We start from the raw sequence: 15,360 nt of genomic DNA, 5'->3' as shown, positions 1-15,360 counted from the left end.
ATAAATAAAAATAAAATAAAATATTCCCTTGCCTTCCTACTACTGGTAATAATAATAAAGCAGCCATTAAGCTCTTCTCTTCCTAGCTTCCTCCTCGAGGCTGGCATGTGGCTCCGGAAGCTTATCTTAAGGTGCTAAGTTGAAAGGAAAGTGGTATAAGCTGCAGGAGAACAGAAGTTGTAAGTCTACGTGGTTCCTATAAGAATTTAACAATTATCTTCTAGGACTCTGCCCCACAGAAAGTAGGTGTGGTGGGGAGAAAACAACGGCATCTTTCACAAATTACTACCTTGACGTGAGTGGCTAAAAAAAAAAAAAATCAGGGTTAGTTTTGAAGGGACTCAACCCCAGCGGTGGGTGGTGGGGGGGTGGAGACAGACACAGCAGAAACACAGCTGAAAGTAATCGCAGGGCCCGTGCCCCTGTTGAAATGTTACAGCTGGGATCTGGCAGAAATCCTGGGCCACTCAGTCCAGCTCAACAATCCGATATCACACATCGAGAGCTGGCCAAGTCCCAGGAACGGAAGGCTCCCTGCCTTCACTTCCGTAGGTCTAGGGGAAGACAATGGCATCTGCTTTCACGGCTGGTAGGATGGCTTTAGAGAGTAAGACAGGATGGGAGTGAGAGCTGCATGAAGGACTAGTTTGGAAAAGGAGGAAGGGAAACTGGCACATCACGCTGTGGAAAGGAGAACTGGGCTGGGAAGTGGAGAATAAGTTTTAGTTTAGCAACATAGGTTATTCCCACTTCAGAGTGGAATTTCCAACTGCCTCAGAAAATAGATGCTTTGGAACAATGAATCAGCTTGTTTATGAACACGTAATGATTTTGTAGCTGTTTACCGAGTGTGTACATGCAGCAGGTACTAAGCTGGATTGCGGCTGGGGATACACAGGGTTCTGGCCCTAAGTTTAGGGAATTTAGTTTAGGGAAGCTTTTATATATAACCACAAATGAGAACACAATGGGAGGTTGACTATTAAATCCTCTCCCCAGAGCACACAAAGAACAAACACCAACGATGTCTGGACTAACCTTCTACTTGAAAATCTGAGCAAAGCCTCCATTGCCTGGCTGCTAACACTCCTTCAGGCCGCCAGAACCATCTGGGGCCTGAGCTAGTGCTGAAACAGATGACTTTAAGCATGCATCCACTTGGATTCCTTTGGGCAGTCAATTCCCAGCCTCTCATCCTTGTCATCAGTGCAAAGTGAAAGACCGTATTGTCTCTCATCCTCCAAGGAATGCACATCCCCAGAGAGCACTGCTCTGGGACTCATCCCTTCCAACTGACTCCCCTGCTTCCTCCAAACTTTCCTCTGCAGACAAACTCCCCCATCCTCCGAACATATCACACAATGCACCACTCGAATTTGTTTCTAACATTTACCTGGCTCTCCCCTAAAGATTCTATTTCCTTATAGCCATCTCCAGTGAGACTGAGAATCCCCACATCCTACTCACTTATTCACCTGGGATGGAAGGGAGGTCAGCATTCTCCAAGTTGACCACTGGCTACTTGCACATGGTTGCTTTCCTCTCTCATGCAAACCTTCCCTTCCGGTGACTCTGTCTCCTATCCAACGCTTTAGAGGGCAGAGGTTTGGGGAATGCACTTTGGCAACAACACAGTCTTAGGTTCAAGTTCTGGCCGCTTAGGAACTATGTGACCTTGAGTAAGTTAAGTAATCTCTCTAAGCCTCAATTGTAGCCTATGTACAGTGGGGATGATTAAAGTACCCACATATCATATGACTGCTATGTGGATTAAACGAACTGATGAAAAGCACCCAGGATAGTGCCTGGAACACAGAAGCACACAACACCTGTTAGCTGTTTTATATGATTATAATCTGAGAGGCTTGAGAGTCTATGTGGACAAAGTATTTTCAATACTCTGGCCTCACTTGATCTTTTGGAATCCAGTGACCCTTGTTGCCCCCTCTACTTCGGTGACTCAGTCCTGCAGCCACAGCTCTCTGAACTCTCTGAAGTCACACATCCTATCTGCTGATCACAATGGTCCATCCTTCCAGTTCTCCCTGGCCCATGCTCTACCACACTGACACTTCAAAGTCACTGAGACATCTACTCCCCAGATCGTTTCCTTTTCTCTGCGGCCTGAACCTCCTCCTGACTGTACCTCTTTAACAACGGAGCCCAAAACCCACGGTGTTTCACTTGAACCACCATCTTCCTAACGCCTTTACCTTTCCTGCCTCTTTATCCTCCTTCTGTATCTGTCTCCCAAACCCAACTTACTTAATCCCAGAGATGGCAAACCTGAATCAGGCAGGAATCCTAGAAGAGTAGAGGGGGACTCTAGACACCTCAAGAAGGTCTGTGACCTCTAACAGGGCATCACTACTCATTCCATGCCAAAGGGTAAACTCAATGAGGGCATACCTTCCATGTACTCAAGAGAAGCCAGATTTTTACGTGAAGTATGCCAGTTTTTAAATATCAGTGACTAATTTAAAAATAGAAAAAAAGGGGCACATTAAAGAAAACATGTCTTGGGGTAAAATTCAGCCCCAAGAACTACTAACTGCAAACTGTGATTCAACCCTTTGACTTCCTCTGTGCTGATACTCAAGCTGTTAAGAGCAGCTAGAGAAAAGTCAGAGCTACTCTGCATCTTCTACCCTGAAGCCCCCCATCATGCCTCAGAGACCTCGGTTCATTCCTGACGATCACTTCTTCCATGATGCCTTCTCTAACTAGCAGCACAAAGATAAACAGCTGATGCTGTATGTGTGTGTGTGTGTTTGTGTGTGGTGGTGGTGAGGGGTGTGAGTGGCAGTTTGTGAAATGACCATCAAATGTGGGGGAGTGGGCACAGAGGGAAGGCATTCCAGATAGAGGAAAGAACACACTAAATTTACAAAGGCAAGAAAGAATACAGTGTGTTAAGTTTAAACTAATAGGTTAGCCCACCAGAAGTACACTATGTACTGAGAGGAGGACTGGGGTTATTATGGGGGTACTGGCAGGAGTCATGGCCAGAGAGGGAGGTCAGGGCTGAGTAATATGGGGCCTTGCCTACCATACTAAGAAGCGTCTTCACTTGTAAGAAACAGGAAAGTAACAAAACACCTTAAACAAGTAATGCAGTCTTGCAATGGAGTGGTTATCTCAAGAAAACCCAACATTGTCATGAATTCCCTTTTTCTTGAATCATAAAGGTAGGTGGGATTAGTGTTAATGTTTTAAGCTGCAAGACACATTACAAGTCGAAAAATCAACAACAGCCTAGAATGCCCTTCTCTCTTTCTCCATCTTGTGAACTCTGACTCATTCTTAAAGACTCAGTTCAAAAGTCAAATCTGACCGTTCTCCAAATAGGAATTAGCATGTGTTTGCTTTGCTAACTTTGTGTTTTTTGCACACTTCTACTACCAAAGCACACAACACTTTAAACTACAATGACTTATACATATTTGCCTTCCCTTTATAATATATGCTCTTAGACATCAGCGACTATATTTTATTCCTGCTGGGTAGCCCAATGCCTGGCACATGACAAATGCTCAAAATATCTGCTCCCTGAACAATCCAAGAACACTATGGGGTTTTGATGCTAGGACTTTTGCTGCAGACTAATTGTCTATCTAATTTAGTTAAAAGCATTCATTACTTACCCGTGCTAGGTACTGATGAGAATGAAATATATAGGGTGGGTCCTTGCCCTCAAAGAATCCACAATCTAATGTCTTAGGAATTATCATTAAAACTCTTCATGATCTAGCTATGGAAATCAAAGTCCCTGATCATATTATCATAAGAGCCATGACATATAACTTCCTTTCTTTTCAATCAAAAGCAAAGTCAGGAAAGAATAATTTACAAACCACTTGCTGTATAATACATTCACAACAGACTGACCAAGGCCAAGAGAAACCAGCTGTCTCTACCTCCTGGGTTCTAATTAGCAATTAAATGTCTACCAAATATAACCCTGAATTATCTGCAAACTGTTGCAACTACAATGATGGGGAACCCAATAAGCCATATCCAATGTAAAGGTGTACATGAAGAGTAAAATATATTCCGTGATTTGGGTTGCTTTTGGTATTTTCATTACAGGTAGGGCTTTTACATTTTAGACTTGCTTATTAGCTATGCAAGTAATTTCACAAAGCATTTTTGCAGAGCTGTTCTGTTTGCATGTGCCATGATGATGACATAGCAAAAGAGGGTATGGAGAGACCTCTGAGTTTCAATATTATCACGCTGTGGATTCCGCTTTCAACTTTACTGAAAGGCTTACGGAATTCAGTTAAGTTACCTTCTCTCAGTCCGACTCGGAGGGCCACATATACAGTGTCTGGTGATATCCATGACCACTCGGATTAAACTGGAAGCCACTGACTGAGAGCCTTCCCTGCTTGTTTTCGGGACTAAGACAAATACAAAATAAGGCTAGACACTAGGTCAAATTTAAGGTGAGATAAAAAAAGCCTAAGGCCCTAGTACAGGAAACACAGCACGCACGCATCTGAAGAGAATTATTGACAAATCAAACACTCTACTAGGGAGACAGTTCATTTCCAATGGGCAATGGCTTTACTTCTAGGAAAGCATATTTTCTTCAATCTGGGGATAGGTCCAATAATAACATGGAATTCCTACAATTATTTTGTTTTAAAAACATCAGAGTTTAATATAGACTCTGGCTTTTTTAGTCATGAGTTGACTCGCTCTTTTGGGCCAAAAATTACTGTGACAGAGGGCAACAGAATAGATGTTCTTTTCTTAGTTGAGAAAGATGAGCTTCAAATACACTTCCAAATTTTTTTCTGCATGTGTTTAAAAACAGAGAGAATGCTACCATAATAGTATGTCAGGAGTCAGGAATGTTTTAAATCTGTGCTGTGCTAATGCATATTTTACTTATTATATAACTTAATTTTATTTACTCCCAAAAAGCAGCTGGAGAAATTATTCAAATTAAAGGGAACGACAACAACAAAAATGAACTGAATTATGGAAATTTGTCTACTAACAGATCAATCTTAAAAAAAAAAAACCCAAACTGTTAAGTGCCATCTTCTCTGAGACACTATCTTAGAACAGATGGACATGATAATGAATTACAACACTCTTAATTAGATAAAGTCCCTTTGAAAATGCATATGCAGGGATAGTTAAAACTGGTTAGCTTGAGTAGGCATGATATAAGCAACTTAATTGCCTAGCACAATGGTAAAAAGCACATGGATCTACAGGAAATATTATTTGATGGCCTAAAAAAACTTAAAACTGTCTCCAAGAAGAAAAAAAGAAGTGCTTTCTGAGCTCTGAACATGACCCTGACAGTTCCAAGCCACCCTCAGGAAGTTTCTGGCTTTGACATATTTGTCAGGTTGGGTTGATGCGCACTGTGTTGACAGCCTCTGACTCTTGCGTGATCCTCCCACCTCCCAACACCCTCCTAAAGGCTTCAAACCGCAGAGTTATGGGCTGTAGCTCTGGAGATAAGAGTTGACAAACTTTGGAAAGCTCTACCACGGAAGGATAAGCATTTGAGCACACAGAGCACTAAAGGATTCTTGATCCTGCTGCTCGTTCCATTTCTCAGAAGCAGACAGATGTTCCAGAACAGAGGAATAAGAAAATCCCTCCTGTCCTATTGAGTTTTCAGGAGGGAAGGGAGGGATAAGAAAAAATTGTCATCTGTTGTTCCATATGTATATGTGCTTTTTGAGGTCCTTGATTTCTCAGTTTGGATTTAAAGCTGGCATATTACTGTATGGTTTTTCTTAAATTTGGTTTTCATTGTTTGGTAGAAAGACTGTCTATTAATTGATTCTTTCCTTGAGGGCAGATGACTGTGTGTGTGTGTGCATGTTGTGTGTTTCCTTCTTATTACCTTCCAAAACTTGGGAGCCTTTTTGAAACTGGCATTGGTCATATCTGTAAGATGTTAAGACTCTTTAAAGCATGTGCCACATTTTATTCACCACTATACCCCACACCAAGCCCAGTGTTCTGCCTTCCATGAGGTCCTCGATGAGTATGTAATTATTTAACTGTTTTAACCGATTGGAGCATTTTAAAATCTGTACCTTGTTTTCACTCACTGTAGCTATGTGGTTAGATTAATTGGATTTAACTCAAGTGCTTCTGAAGGGAAGGGATAACCTGCCAAAGATTCCATTCGGCTGGCCTCATCCAGTATGAGTCAATTTCAGGCTGTGAATTCTGGAACCCCAGAAAACTTCTTCTAAACATCTCTATCTATTCACAAGAAACAGTGTGCTAGCAATCTGCTAAGATTCTATTATCATAATGCAAGACAGCACCAACAAAATGAATTTTCTTGAGAGCACAATTTCAAATTGAAGCAGCTTGGTGCAAATATTTAGATGTTATAGTGAAAGCAAACGACATTGATGACCTTCGCTCTGGTCATGGGCTGTATATTTGACATATTTTTCAGACACAATGGGACTACCATCCTTCCTTTTATCTTATTTCCTTTCCTGGAGTTACAGAGTTTGGAGCTGTGATGATAGGACAGGATATGAGTGGGAAATTGCCTTCTAAGGTCAATGTTTTATGGGAGAGAAATAAAGCTGAGGTTCAAACAAGGAAAAAAGTCACTTTGAGTAGATCTTTTTTCATTTTAAGAGACAGAAAGAAATGGTCCAATCATAAAGTTAGGAAAAGAGAACCTAAAACTTGTCCATGAATATTATTCTGTGTGTGTATGCACGATTAAATGTAAAACACAGAAAAGAACAATATGAATACGGAGCAGCTGAAGACAGAGAAGACACACACACAATCCGACCTCAGGGAAAGTGATGTGGCAACAGAAGGGGAGAAACAAGTGCAAATATGGGTCCAGGAGCCAGCAAGTAGCCATGTATGGGCTGATGCAGTTTCACACAGGTGAGCCTGTGTGGGCACCAGGAACCATACACACATGGCCCTCTCCAGCACATTTACCAAGGCAGGCTGACAGGCAGAGATATCGACATTCTATTAGAAAGCAGTTTAACAGAGTAAATCCTTATCTTGCGGAGTCAGCCTTTGGCCAGATATTCTCTGCTTCTGCTACGTAGGGACTATCTATTTATAGATGTAAAGAAAAAAAAAAGGTTAACTAACAATAGTCAACTAACCACTGACCAAATACGTAATCTATTTTACTGAATTGTTACTCAGCTTTCACAATCCAACCAGTTCTGATTACCCTGGCTTAAATCATTACTCTAGTAGTTTATTTCATTTTGCTGTTTCTAAGGTTTTTTTTTGTTTTGTTTTTTTAAGAAAGTTTAAAGAAAAAACCCATAATTCTTTTATAACTTCCCCTGGACTTTCTCCTTTTCTTATCCCTAGGCGAGCCATATATCTCTCCCATTATTTTCTGAGCTCTGAAATTTCCTAAAATTTTTCTTTACCTTTGTTTCCCAGGAGTCTCCTGTCGCTAGCGGCTTGGGTTCCTTCCCTTCTAAAGGCTTTTGGAAAGTCAAAGAATTTAGAGGTAGAAGTTACTTTTGAGACAATCAAATCCTTCCTCCCCTCCTTTCTTCGACTGGAAAACCGAGCCAGACAATGTGAGAGCCTCACCCAAACTCATGCCGAAGTGGGCCTGGATTCTAGCTCTGGACACATGATTCGTGCCCTTTCTGAACAGCACCAGGTGATGTGCAGAGGAGTATTCTTTAGCTACGGAATGGTTTACTCACAGGTATGTGTCTGCTTACAGACAATAACAAAGTGCATGACACAGAATGTTAGGGCTCCTGAGAGGCAGGACTGGAGAGGGCCTGGTGGTGAGTGAGCCCAGGGCCACAAGGGACAGTGCAGCTCAGTGGTAAGTGCCAGACAGACCTGTTCCGCTGATGTGCACCGGCTAGGACCCTTCCAGCTCCACAATGCTCCCTCTATGAAACAGGAGAGTGATACAGCCTGCCTCCTGTGTTGAGCTCTGTGATTCTGGCTTGTCAATATTTCTAGTGAAATTGTACTTAGAATTTCATGTGTCCAACATATTCTATTACATTTTTTGGTGAAAACAGAAGTCACATATTAGTCAACATATTAGCTGACAGATAATCTAACATTTTTAATTACCTTGAAGCTAAGGAAAAAAAAAAAAACAAGTCAAAAAAATACTTCTGAAGATTGATTTAAAAATAAAATAGGATTTTTGGTCTAGTGTCTCAGAACACAAGAGATACACATGTTCCAGATATAGGTTCTGGAAGAGTATCAGGCCCTTGGTCAGAGAGAGGCAGGAGCCAGGAGGGAGCTTGGGAATCTGGCTTTCTGAAATGCACACAACCCAGAAGAAACTCTATTTTAAGTTTTTGGACATTATAAACAATGACTTAATTTATTTCTACCTTAAAATAGCTGGATTGGACTTTTCTCAATAACTTTTAAGAACGGCATATTTATAAAACAAATTGATAACAGAACTTTTAGAACAAAAAGTTTGGGACAAATTTCATAAAAATAAATTTAAAATAGGTGACTTGTCAATAATAAAAAGGTACAAAGTTACTTATCAAAAGGCGTAGGGTATTTAAAAAACTCGTGACTTACAGTGAAAGTGAGTAAGGTGGAGGTATTACTGTCTAGATTTTTAACTAGTTAATGTCTACCGTGTAAGCCTGTATCTGAAACACTGGTGAAAAATTACGGAGGCAAAGTGAAGAGTCTGTAAAATTAGGTCCAAACACTGGAGAGAGCAAGGAGTAGGAAGTGCAGAGAAAACACTGTGGTCTTAGAACTCTCTATCTTCTTGAGAAATAGCCCAGTTGGGCTGAGGTCTGGGCTGGTGGACACCAGGAGAACATGGACTCTCAGATGTATAGCCCAGGCTGGATCCATCCTTCAAATGCATCTGCCTCTGGTGAATCCATTTCTCTCAGGTAAGCTCAACCATTACAGAGGAGAATCTCTATTCAACATCTTTGCAAGCTTTGTTTTGTTTTAAAAATGGACCCGGTTTTATCAGGCAGATTTTCTGGTATCCCAAAGTAGCATTCCCTTTTGTATGATGGGAGAAAACCTAGTTTAACCTAGGTGGTCACAGCACTCTTCAAGAAGCGGAAGGTTAAAAATAATGGTTGGCTAAATGATATTAAAGCTGAAGCGGTGGCTCAGAGGCTCTTAAATCACGTGTCTGCTCCTGGGTGGACTGCCAAATGGCAAGTGAAGAAAGAAGCAGAAAAAGAGCTGCTGGGCACACAGGGGGCTTAACTATAATGCTGCCCGAATTTCACCTGAAGACCCAGAGTTCCAGGGCCAGAAGGGCATGAGTTTTTGGAAAAGAATCACGTTTCTGAAACACACCACCAAATTCCTGCAATCAGAAAATGAAAACTAAAGGGCATCTATCTTGGTTAAATGTAGATTAGGGTGGATTAAAAATGGCCACAAATTCTTTGTGGCTTATCTCATCAAGAAGTGGAACCTACTTTCCAAACCTTTGAATGAGGGCTTGACCTGGGACTTCCTTTGACCAACAGAACATGGCAGAAGTGTTCTGTAACTTCCAACTCTTGGTCTCCAAAGGCTTTGCAACTTCCTCTCCTGCTTCTGACATCATGTAGGGAGAGGGGTCTTTCCAGCCATCCCAGCTGAGTTTCCAAACATGGGAGGGACATCCAGTCTCAGTCAACCTGCCAGCTGGCTACAGAAGAACTGCTCAGTCAACACACAGAATCAGGACAAAGAATAAATCTTTGTCATTTTCAGCTACTTCTTTTGGGGCGGTTGTTACACAGCAGTGAATAACTGAAACACGTATGTGGTATGCAGATAGAAATGTGTTGGTGAGATATAAATTCATATTCCCCGATATATTTCTTGGACTTAAAAACAACAAAACATTGTTATCAAAAAAGCTCCAGTGGAAAGAGCACAGGGTTTTCAATAAAAAAAAAATTAAAAAACCTGGGTTGAAGCCTTGAACCTGCTCTGTCTCTTGTACCAAGGAAAATTTGTGATTTTCTGCAAGTCTCTTATTATCTCAATCTCCATTCTCATACCTATAAATTCCTCATAGAATTAAAGTGATGGTAAGATATGAATAGGGAAAATGCTTTATAAACAGCAAGGCACTTTACACATTTAAGGTGTGACTGCTATTGTTATCTATATGTCACTTAAAGACTATCTTGGTTTTTTTCTTCCCTGCAAAGAAATAATTTGCATTAATGTATCTGTCTTTTAAGTTTCTGTTGTAAATTCTCTTATGCACAGCAGCATCTGTACATGCACACACATGCAGACACTCACAAAGGGACTTTCAAGGACCACAAGGTGTCCTAAACCTCACAGACAGTCCCATTTTCCCTTTTTGTCACTGTGTAGTGTTTAGGCCCAGTATAAGTCCCAGAGCCACTAATTCTTATCCCTCTCCACCCTCTCCTGAAAGGTAGAATGCACTGCCATATAACTCATATCATGTCTTCATGCCAACAGAAGAAAAAAGGATAAAAAGAAACGGCGGGATGCCTGGAAATCTATGCCAAGTTGAGGGAAGGAAGAATCAAATAATGGTTAAAAATTAATTACATCACACACAAGAATGATGTTTAAACAGGATGAAGTTCAAGAGAAAAGACACAAAAGAAGTGAAAATGAAAGGCCATTAAACAAGACAGAAAGGCAGCAAGGAAATAAGGAAGAGCCTATACTCACAAAGGCCACAGGTAGAAGGGAAAACCAGTATTTGTGAGGGATAGAAGTGGAAAGTGAAACCCATGCACAGTAAGAACATCCGGAGAATAGTGTCTGTCACTCTTAAGAACTCAATTCATGTTTGATGAATAGATGAATGAATCAACTGAAAACATACAATTCCAGAGAAAACTAACAAATCAAGCTCACACAGAAATGGGGCAGTTAAGGGCCCGAATGGGTGAAATAGTCTCATAGGGAAGGGCAATTCCATTTGGATGGGAATGAAGGAGGGAGGAATGTATTCTTCAAGATAGGGGAGAAAAGTCCACAAACCCACTTTCTAGCCCATGAAAGTGCAATAAATTCTTATAAAAAGGGAGTTGTTACTTTCACTGAATGTAATTCTTTACAGCTAAAGTTTCAGATATTTTACCTTATTATGTCCTAAAATGTAAATAGCTTTCTCCCCTGATTTCTCCACATAATCAGCTTTGCTCTCAAATGGCTCTAATTTCTTAACAATGCTCTTATAAGTATGCTGGTAAAAGTCAAATAATCATAATAGGATCTTATATGTTCTATAATCTTCTTCTTTATGCCTAAATATGCTCTTAAAGAGTGGACATTTGACATGGCTCACACACAAGAATAAAGTTACGTAGTTTTTCTCTTAAAATACTACCATTATTATTACATGTTAGGCTTTTTTTTTTCCATTTTCACATGATTATTTGGGTTGTTATTCTCTAATCAATGTACAACCTATCATCCCATCACCCTCCTTAGTAAGCAGGAATCCACTGAATATGCTAAACTAGGCTGAATGGGTCTAAGCCACAGCTTGAGTATATTCTGCATTTACCGACTCATTCAGCACTAATGCATACAGAGGAAAAGAAAAGATGACACAATTCCTGACCTTTAGGAACATCGTATAGCTGATAAGACAAGACTTCACGCATTCGACAATTCAGTAACAATGTATGAAAGTCGATAATTAACTGACAGCATAGGAAAGGATTATGTGGGAAGTTTCTAGGCAGTGGGACCTGTTGGTTGAAGCATGAAGACCACGTGGACAGAGGAGAAATTAATTAGAGTCCTGCTGGATGAGCAATATGAAAAGAGATGGAATGGAGAGTGAAAGGCATCCCATGCTGTGAGAGATGACTGCTGTGCTTGGAATGGAGGGTTTCTACAGGATTGAGGAGTACCGCACCATAAAGTGGGGACTGGGGGAAAAGTGCAAGGATTTGAAAATGAGACAGGGAGTAGTATTACAACCCAATGGCAGGAAGGTAACTAGAAACTAAAAATATTCATTCTTTTTCTTTTCTTCAACATATAAATCATCTTGGCTAAGAGAGGGCCTGTTTGTTCATCCATTCATTCACCAACAGATGTGGGCTGACACATTATATTTAGGTACAAGAGGCTACAAAATACTCCCTTTCCTTGACAATCACACAGGACAGGAGAGACAGACAAAAAAACATCAGTATGTTCAATGTGTTATGAAAAGTGCTATGATAAAAAGATACACAGGGGATGGATGACAAGGGAGCAGAGAGGGACACTTAAGTCATCTTCAGGGGCCGAAGAGTGACAACACTTCAAAGAGCAGGAAATGCAGTCTTGAAGGAGAGGTAGAAGCTGCCTATATGTATGCAGAAGGGAGTCCGGGAAGAGGTAGTGGCAACTGCAAAGGCACAGGACTCGTGAGAGAGCTGGAGGAGGAGACCCTGTTCAAAGCGAACAAATGAGCAGGGGATGAGTATGGGTCACTGATGATCTGACATACAGGAAACTAAAGAGCTGTGAGAACCTATCCCTTCTCTGCAAATAATTTACAGTGGGATGTTGAATGACTTCCTTCTCTATGTTTTCAATGTCTTCATTAGAGGCAAATTTAACTCTGGCCATTCTTCATTTTTGAATGCTGAAGTCAAAATTATGTCAACACAGTAATAATCATCTTCAAGTTTTATTTTCTAGACTCACAGAAGCTTGAGGATAAAATGGAAGGCAGCTAGTTCAACCTCCTTTCCAACCTAATACAATTCTTGTAAGCATTCCGGGCAGGTGGCCATCCAGACGGAAAGAAATCTATCCAGCTCCAAGGAGCTCTGTCTGCCTCAGGAAGCAGCCAATTCATTACAGAACATCACTAGTTGTGGGAAAGTTTCTTCTTAAATTGAGACTAAATATACCTTCCTGTAGCTTCTACCCATTTCAACCCCCTAGAGTGACTGAAAAAATAGCTGACCGTGCCTCCTATGTGCAGATGGCTCTATGTGGCATTTATAATAGTGAACTGAGAATTGTCCATTTTCCTCACTAAAGGACTACCTCGTTAACAACCGGCTTAGTTTTGATTAATTAGGTTCTCCAATATAATGTACCACCTTCCTTTTCAGGAAGACCCTGAAGGGACATCTGTTACTGTTAGCGATGCTCCATTTATCTCCTTTACTGATTAGTAATACCTTATGTTTGCAAGATATTTCACCCCTTCCTAAGCATCTGCACATAAATTATCATATTCTAATGTCATAGGAAGGTGGCTGCACCAATGTATGTTATCTTCACAAAAATCTTTGCATCTGTTTTATAATACAGTATAAAGGATATGTCTTAGAGAATACTAGGTTTGACAGAACAAAGGCTAGGAGATGCCAAGGATTTAACTTATTTTATGAGAAGAAAGAAGGAAAAAGTAATTATCAGAACAAATTCTGGATGTCTCTTCAATTACGGACAGATAACTGATACTTACCTTACCTATGGACCACATCTACTCCTATCTTATCCAACCATTTGCATAATCACAGGTACTCATGCAACAAACCCAGAAGCTAAATGCCTAGCACTGGGACTGAGGAAGAAGAGGTTGGAAATTGAGTTAAATAAGGCACAGTTTTAACTCATCCTATTAAACGCAGAACGAAAGCTGAAAAACATGAAATGACTTAGTCATAAAGATGGCTTGTTGACCTGCAAAAGATGGAAGGGAGGTCATGGCAGAGAAGAGGGGTGAGTAGTCGGGGGAAAACAGACTGTAAACCCTACATTTCCAAGAACAGTCTTCCCCAAAGCCAAGTACGAAGGAGGGACAGCTCTATGGTGGTGCTTTGTAGACTAAAAAGGACAGGACCCGGAGATCCTCATGTTCTAGAGAAAAACTAGTTCTAGGGGGCTAAGTGCATGCCCTGCTACTAGGGTTAAAATGACAGTGGCTCTTCCCCGCAGTCAAGCCAAAGAGAGATGTGTTTGTTATTCCAGAAAGCATTGTAAGAATTAAGACTCCTCTTGACCTCAGCAAGAAATGGGTCTGGGTAGATGTGTGATTCCAAACATCAAGGGTCCCAATGTTTCATCACATTGAACATGTTGTTTAAGCACCTACAAGATTCACTGCAGAGGATCAAATGATGTGTCTACTCTTGATAGACACCTCACTGCCTGCCTCCCTATCTATATACAGAGGGGCATATTTGCTTATATAGGTCCCAGCCCTCAAAAGTGTACAGGCACCCTTACAGAAAGAATCTATAAGGTTTAACGACTTAACCTGATGACACCTGGTTTTGATCTGAGGAAAGATACATATAAATACCAAGTAATGCAAACAGTTCAGTGATTTCTTCCAGAGAAACAGGAAAGGACTAGGTTTCTCATGGGAAAACAAACTGCATGCTCAAAATGTACCTTAGATGATGCTAACAAATGAGGAGAAAACTTGACAAACTAATGGCAAACTAACCTTGTTGGCAAAGTACAGCAACCATCTGCAGTTAGTCTGACTTGAGTTTCATAGCTGTCCGGGGGACACGCGGTCTGCTGAACAGGAGGGCATTCCACAGTCCTGCAGTCCACGCCGAAAACTGAAAGGGGCAAACAGAGAGGCACCGTTTATTGTTATATTTACTTGCTTTTGGAGTCCCTAAATGAAATACTAGCTCTTGACAAATGTCCAAAGTCTCCTTGCTTCCACAAACCCAGTCCTAGTGTCGACATGTTACTCCAGTTAATGCTATAGAACTGCAATATTCCTCAAATTTTCTGTGTAAGGAAAGAGGTGGGGATGAGATATTTAAGAGCTACAATGAAGACAGAGAAAGAATTAAACCAGCAGTGGTTACATGGATAGTGACAGTTAGCCAGAGGCATTTCTGATTGATAGAATAGTTCAAGAGACGGACAAAGGATCACTTTGCTTGGAGCGTTTATCTAGCAGTTAAAAAAAAAAAAGAAAGAAAGAAAAAGAAAAACCCAAACAAAAAAACAACTGGCCGATGATTAGAAACTTGCAAAGAGGAAATCGCTATAACTCAGAAGTGTTCACAGACCACATCGGAAATGCTGCCACAAGAGCAAGGATGTTAGAAATAATATAAAGCAAGAAACAGCTGGGATACAACAGTACATCAAATGTTGGCAAAGAGGGTGAGTAAACAGTCAAAGATGACTTGGCACATGCTATAAAGTAAAGAGGGCAGATGCGGGGGAATTGGCAAAGAGAAAGATTGGGGCTGAGTGTTGCATTATGAAACTTCTGGCGTTTTGATGCATGTATTCATCTAAAAATAACTTTCTGTTTTACGTATGATGATTGTTTTTAAATGTAATAATTCAAAGTGGCAGATATAGCTGCAAATAAGGTCTCTGACCTTCTCTGGGGAAATGAAGCAGATTGCCATAGTACCATAA

The 15,360-nt window shown here is 40.8% G+C and overlaps 1 protein-coding gene across 14 annotated transcripts in view, besides 1 other annotated feature; it reads right to left on the bottom strand.

The window, feature by feature from the left end:
• Positions 1-15,360, bottom strand: part of CRIM1 (cysteine rich transmembrane BMP regulator 1) — a 195,358-nt gene that overhangs the window by 93,987 nt on the left and 86,011 nt on the right. For 13 of the 14 annotated variants that reach the window (XR_007076383.1, XM_011532898.4, XM_011532899.4 and 10 more), the window contains one exon: positions 14,414-14,534. Coding sequence is in view for 13 of the 14 variants with exons in the window: in XM_011532898.4 (XP_011531200.1) it covers positions 14,414-14,534 (121 nt within the window). In the remaining variant the exon portion in view is untranslated. Of the gene's footprint in view, positions 1-14,413; positions 14,535-15,360 lie in introns of those variants that run through there. The other variant, XM_047444645.1, reaches the window with a different exon arrangement.
• Positions 6,605-7,804: an enhancer, noted in NCBI's record as "BRD4-independent group 4 enhancer chr2:36676488-36677687 (GRCh37/hg19 assembly coordinates)". NCBI's record gives its function as "activates an origin of replication core promoter dependent on BRD2, P300/CBP, MED14 and CDK7 cofactors, and independent of BRD4, by STARR-seq in HCT116 cells {active_cell/tissue: HCT116}" and the evidence as "EXISTENCE:reporter gene assay evidence [ECO:0000049][PMID:35650434]".

This window comes from Homo sapiens, chromosome 2 (genome assembly GCF_000001405.40).
Source record: "Homo sapiens chromosome 2, GRCh38.p14 Primary Assembly".
NCBI classification, from domain to species: Eukaryota; Metazoa; Chordata; class Mammalia; order Primates; family Hominidae; genus Homo; species Homo sapiens.
This window is presented reverse-complemented; position numbering and strand designations above follow the sequence as displayed.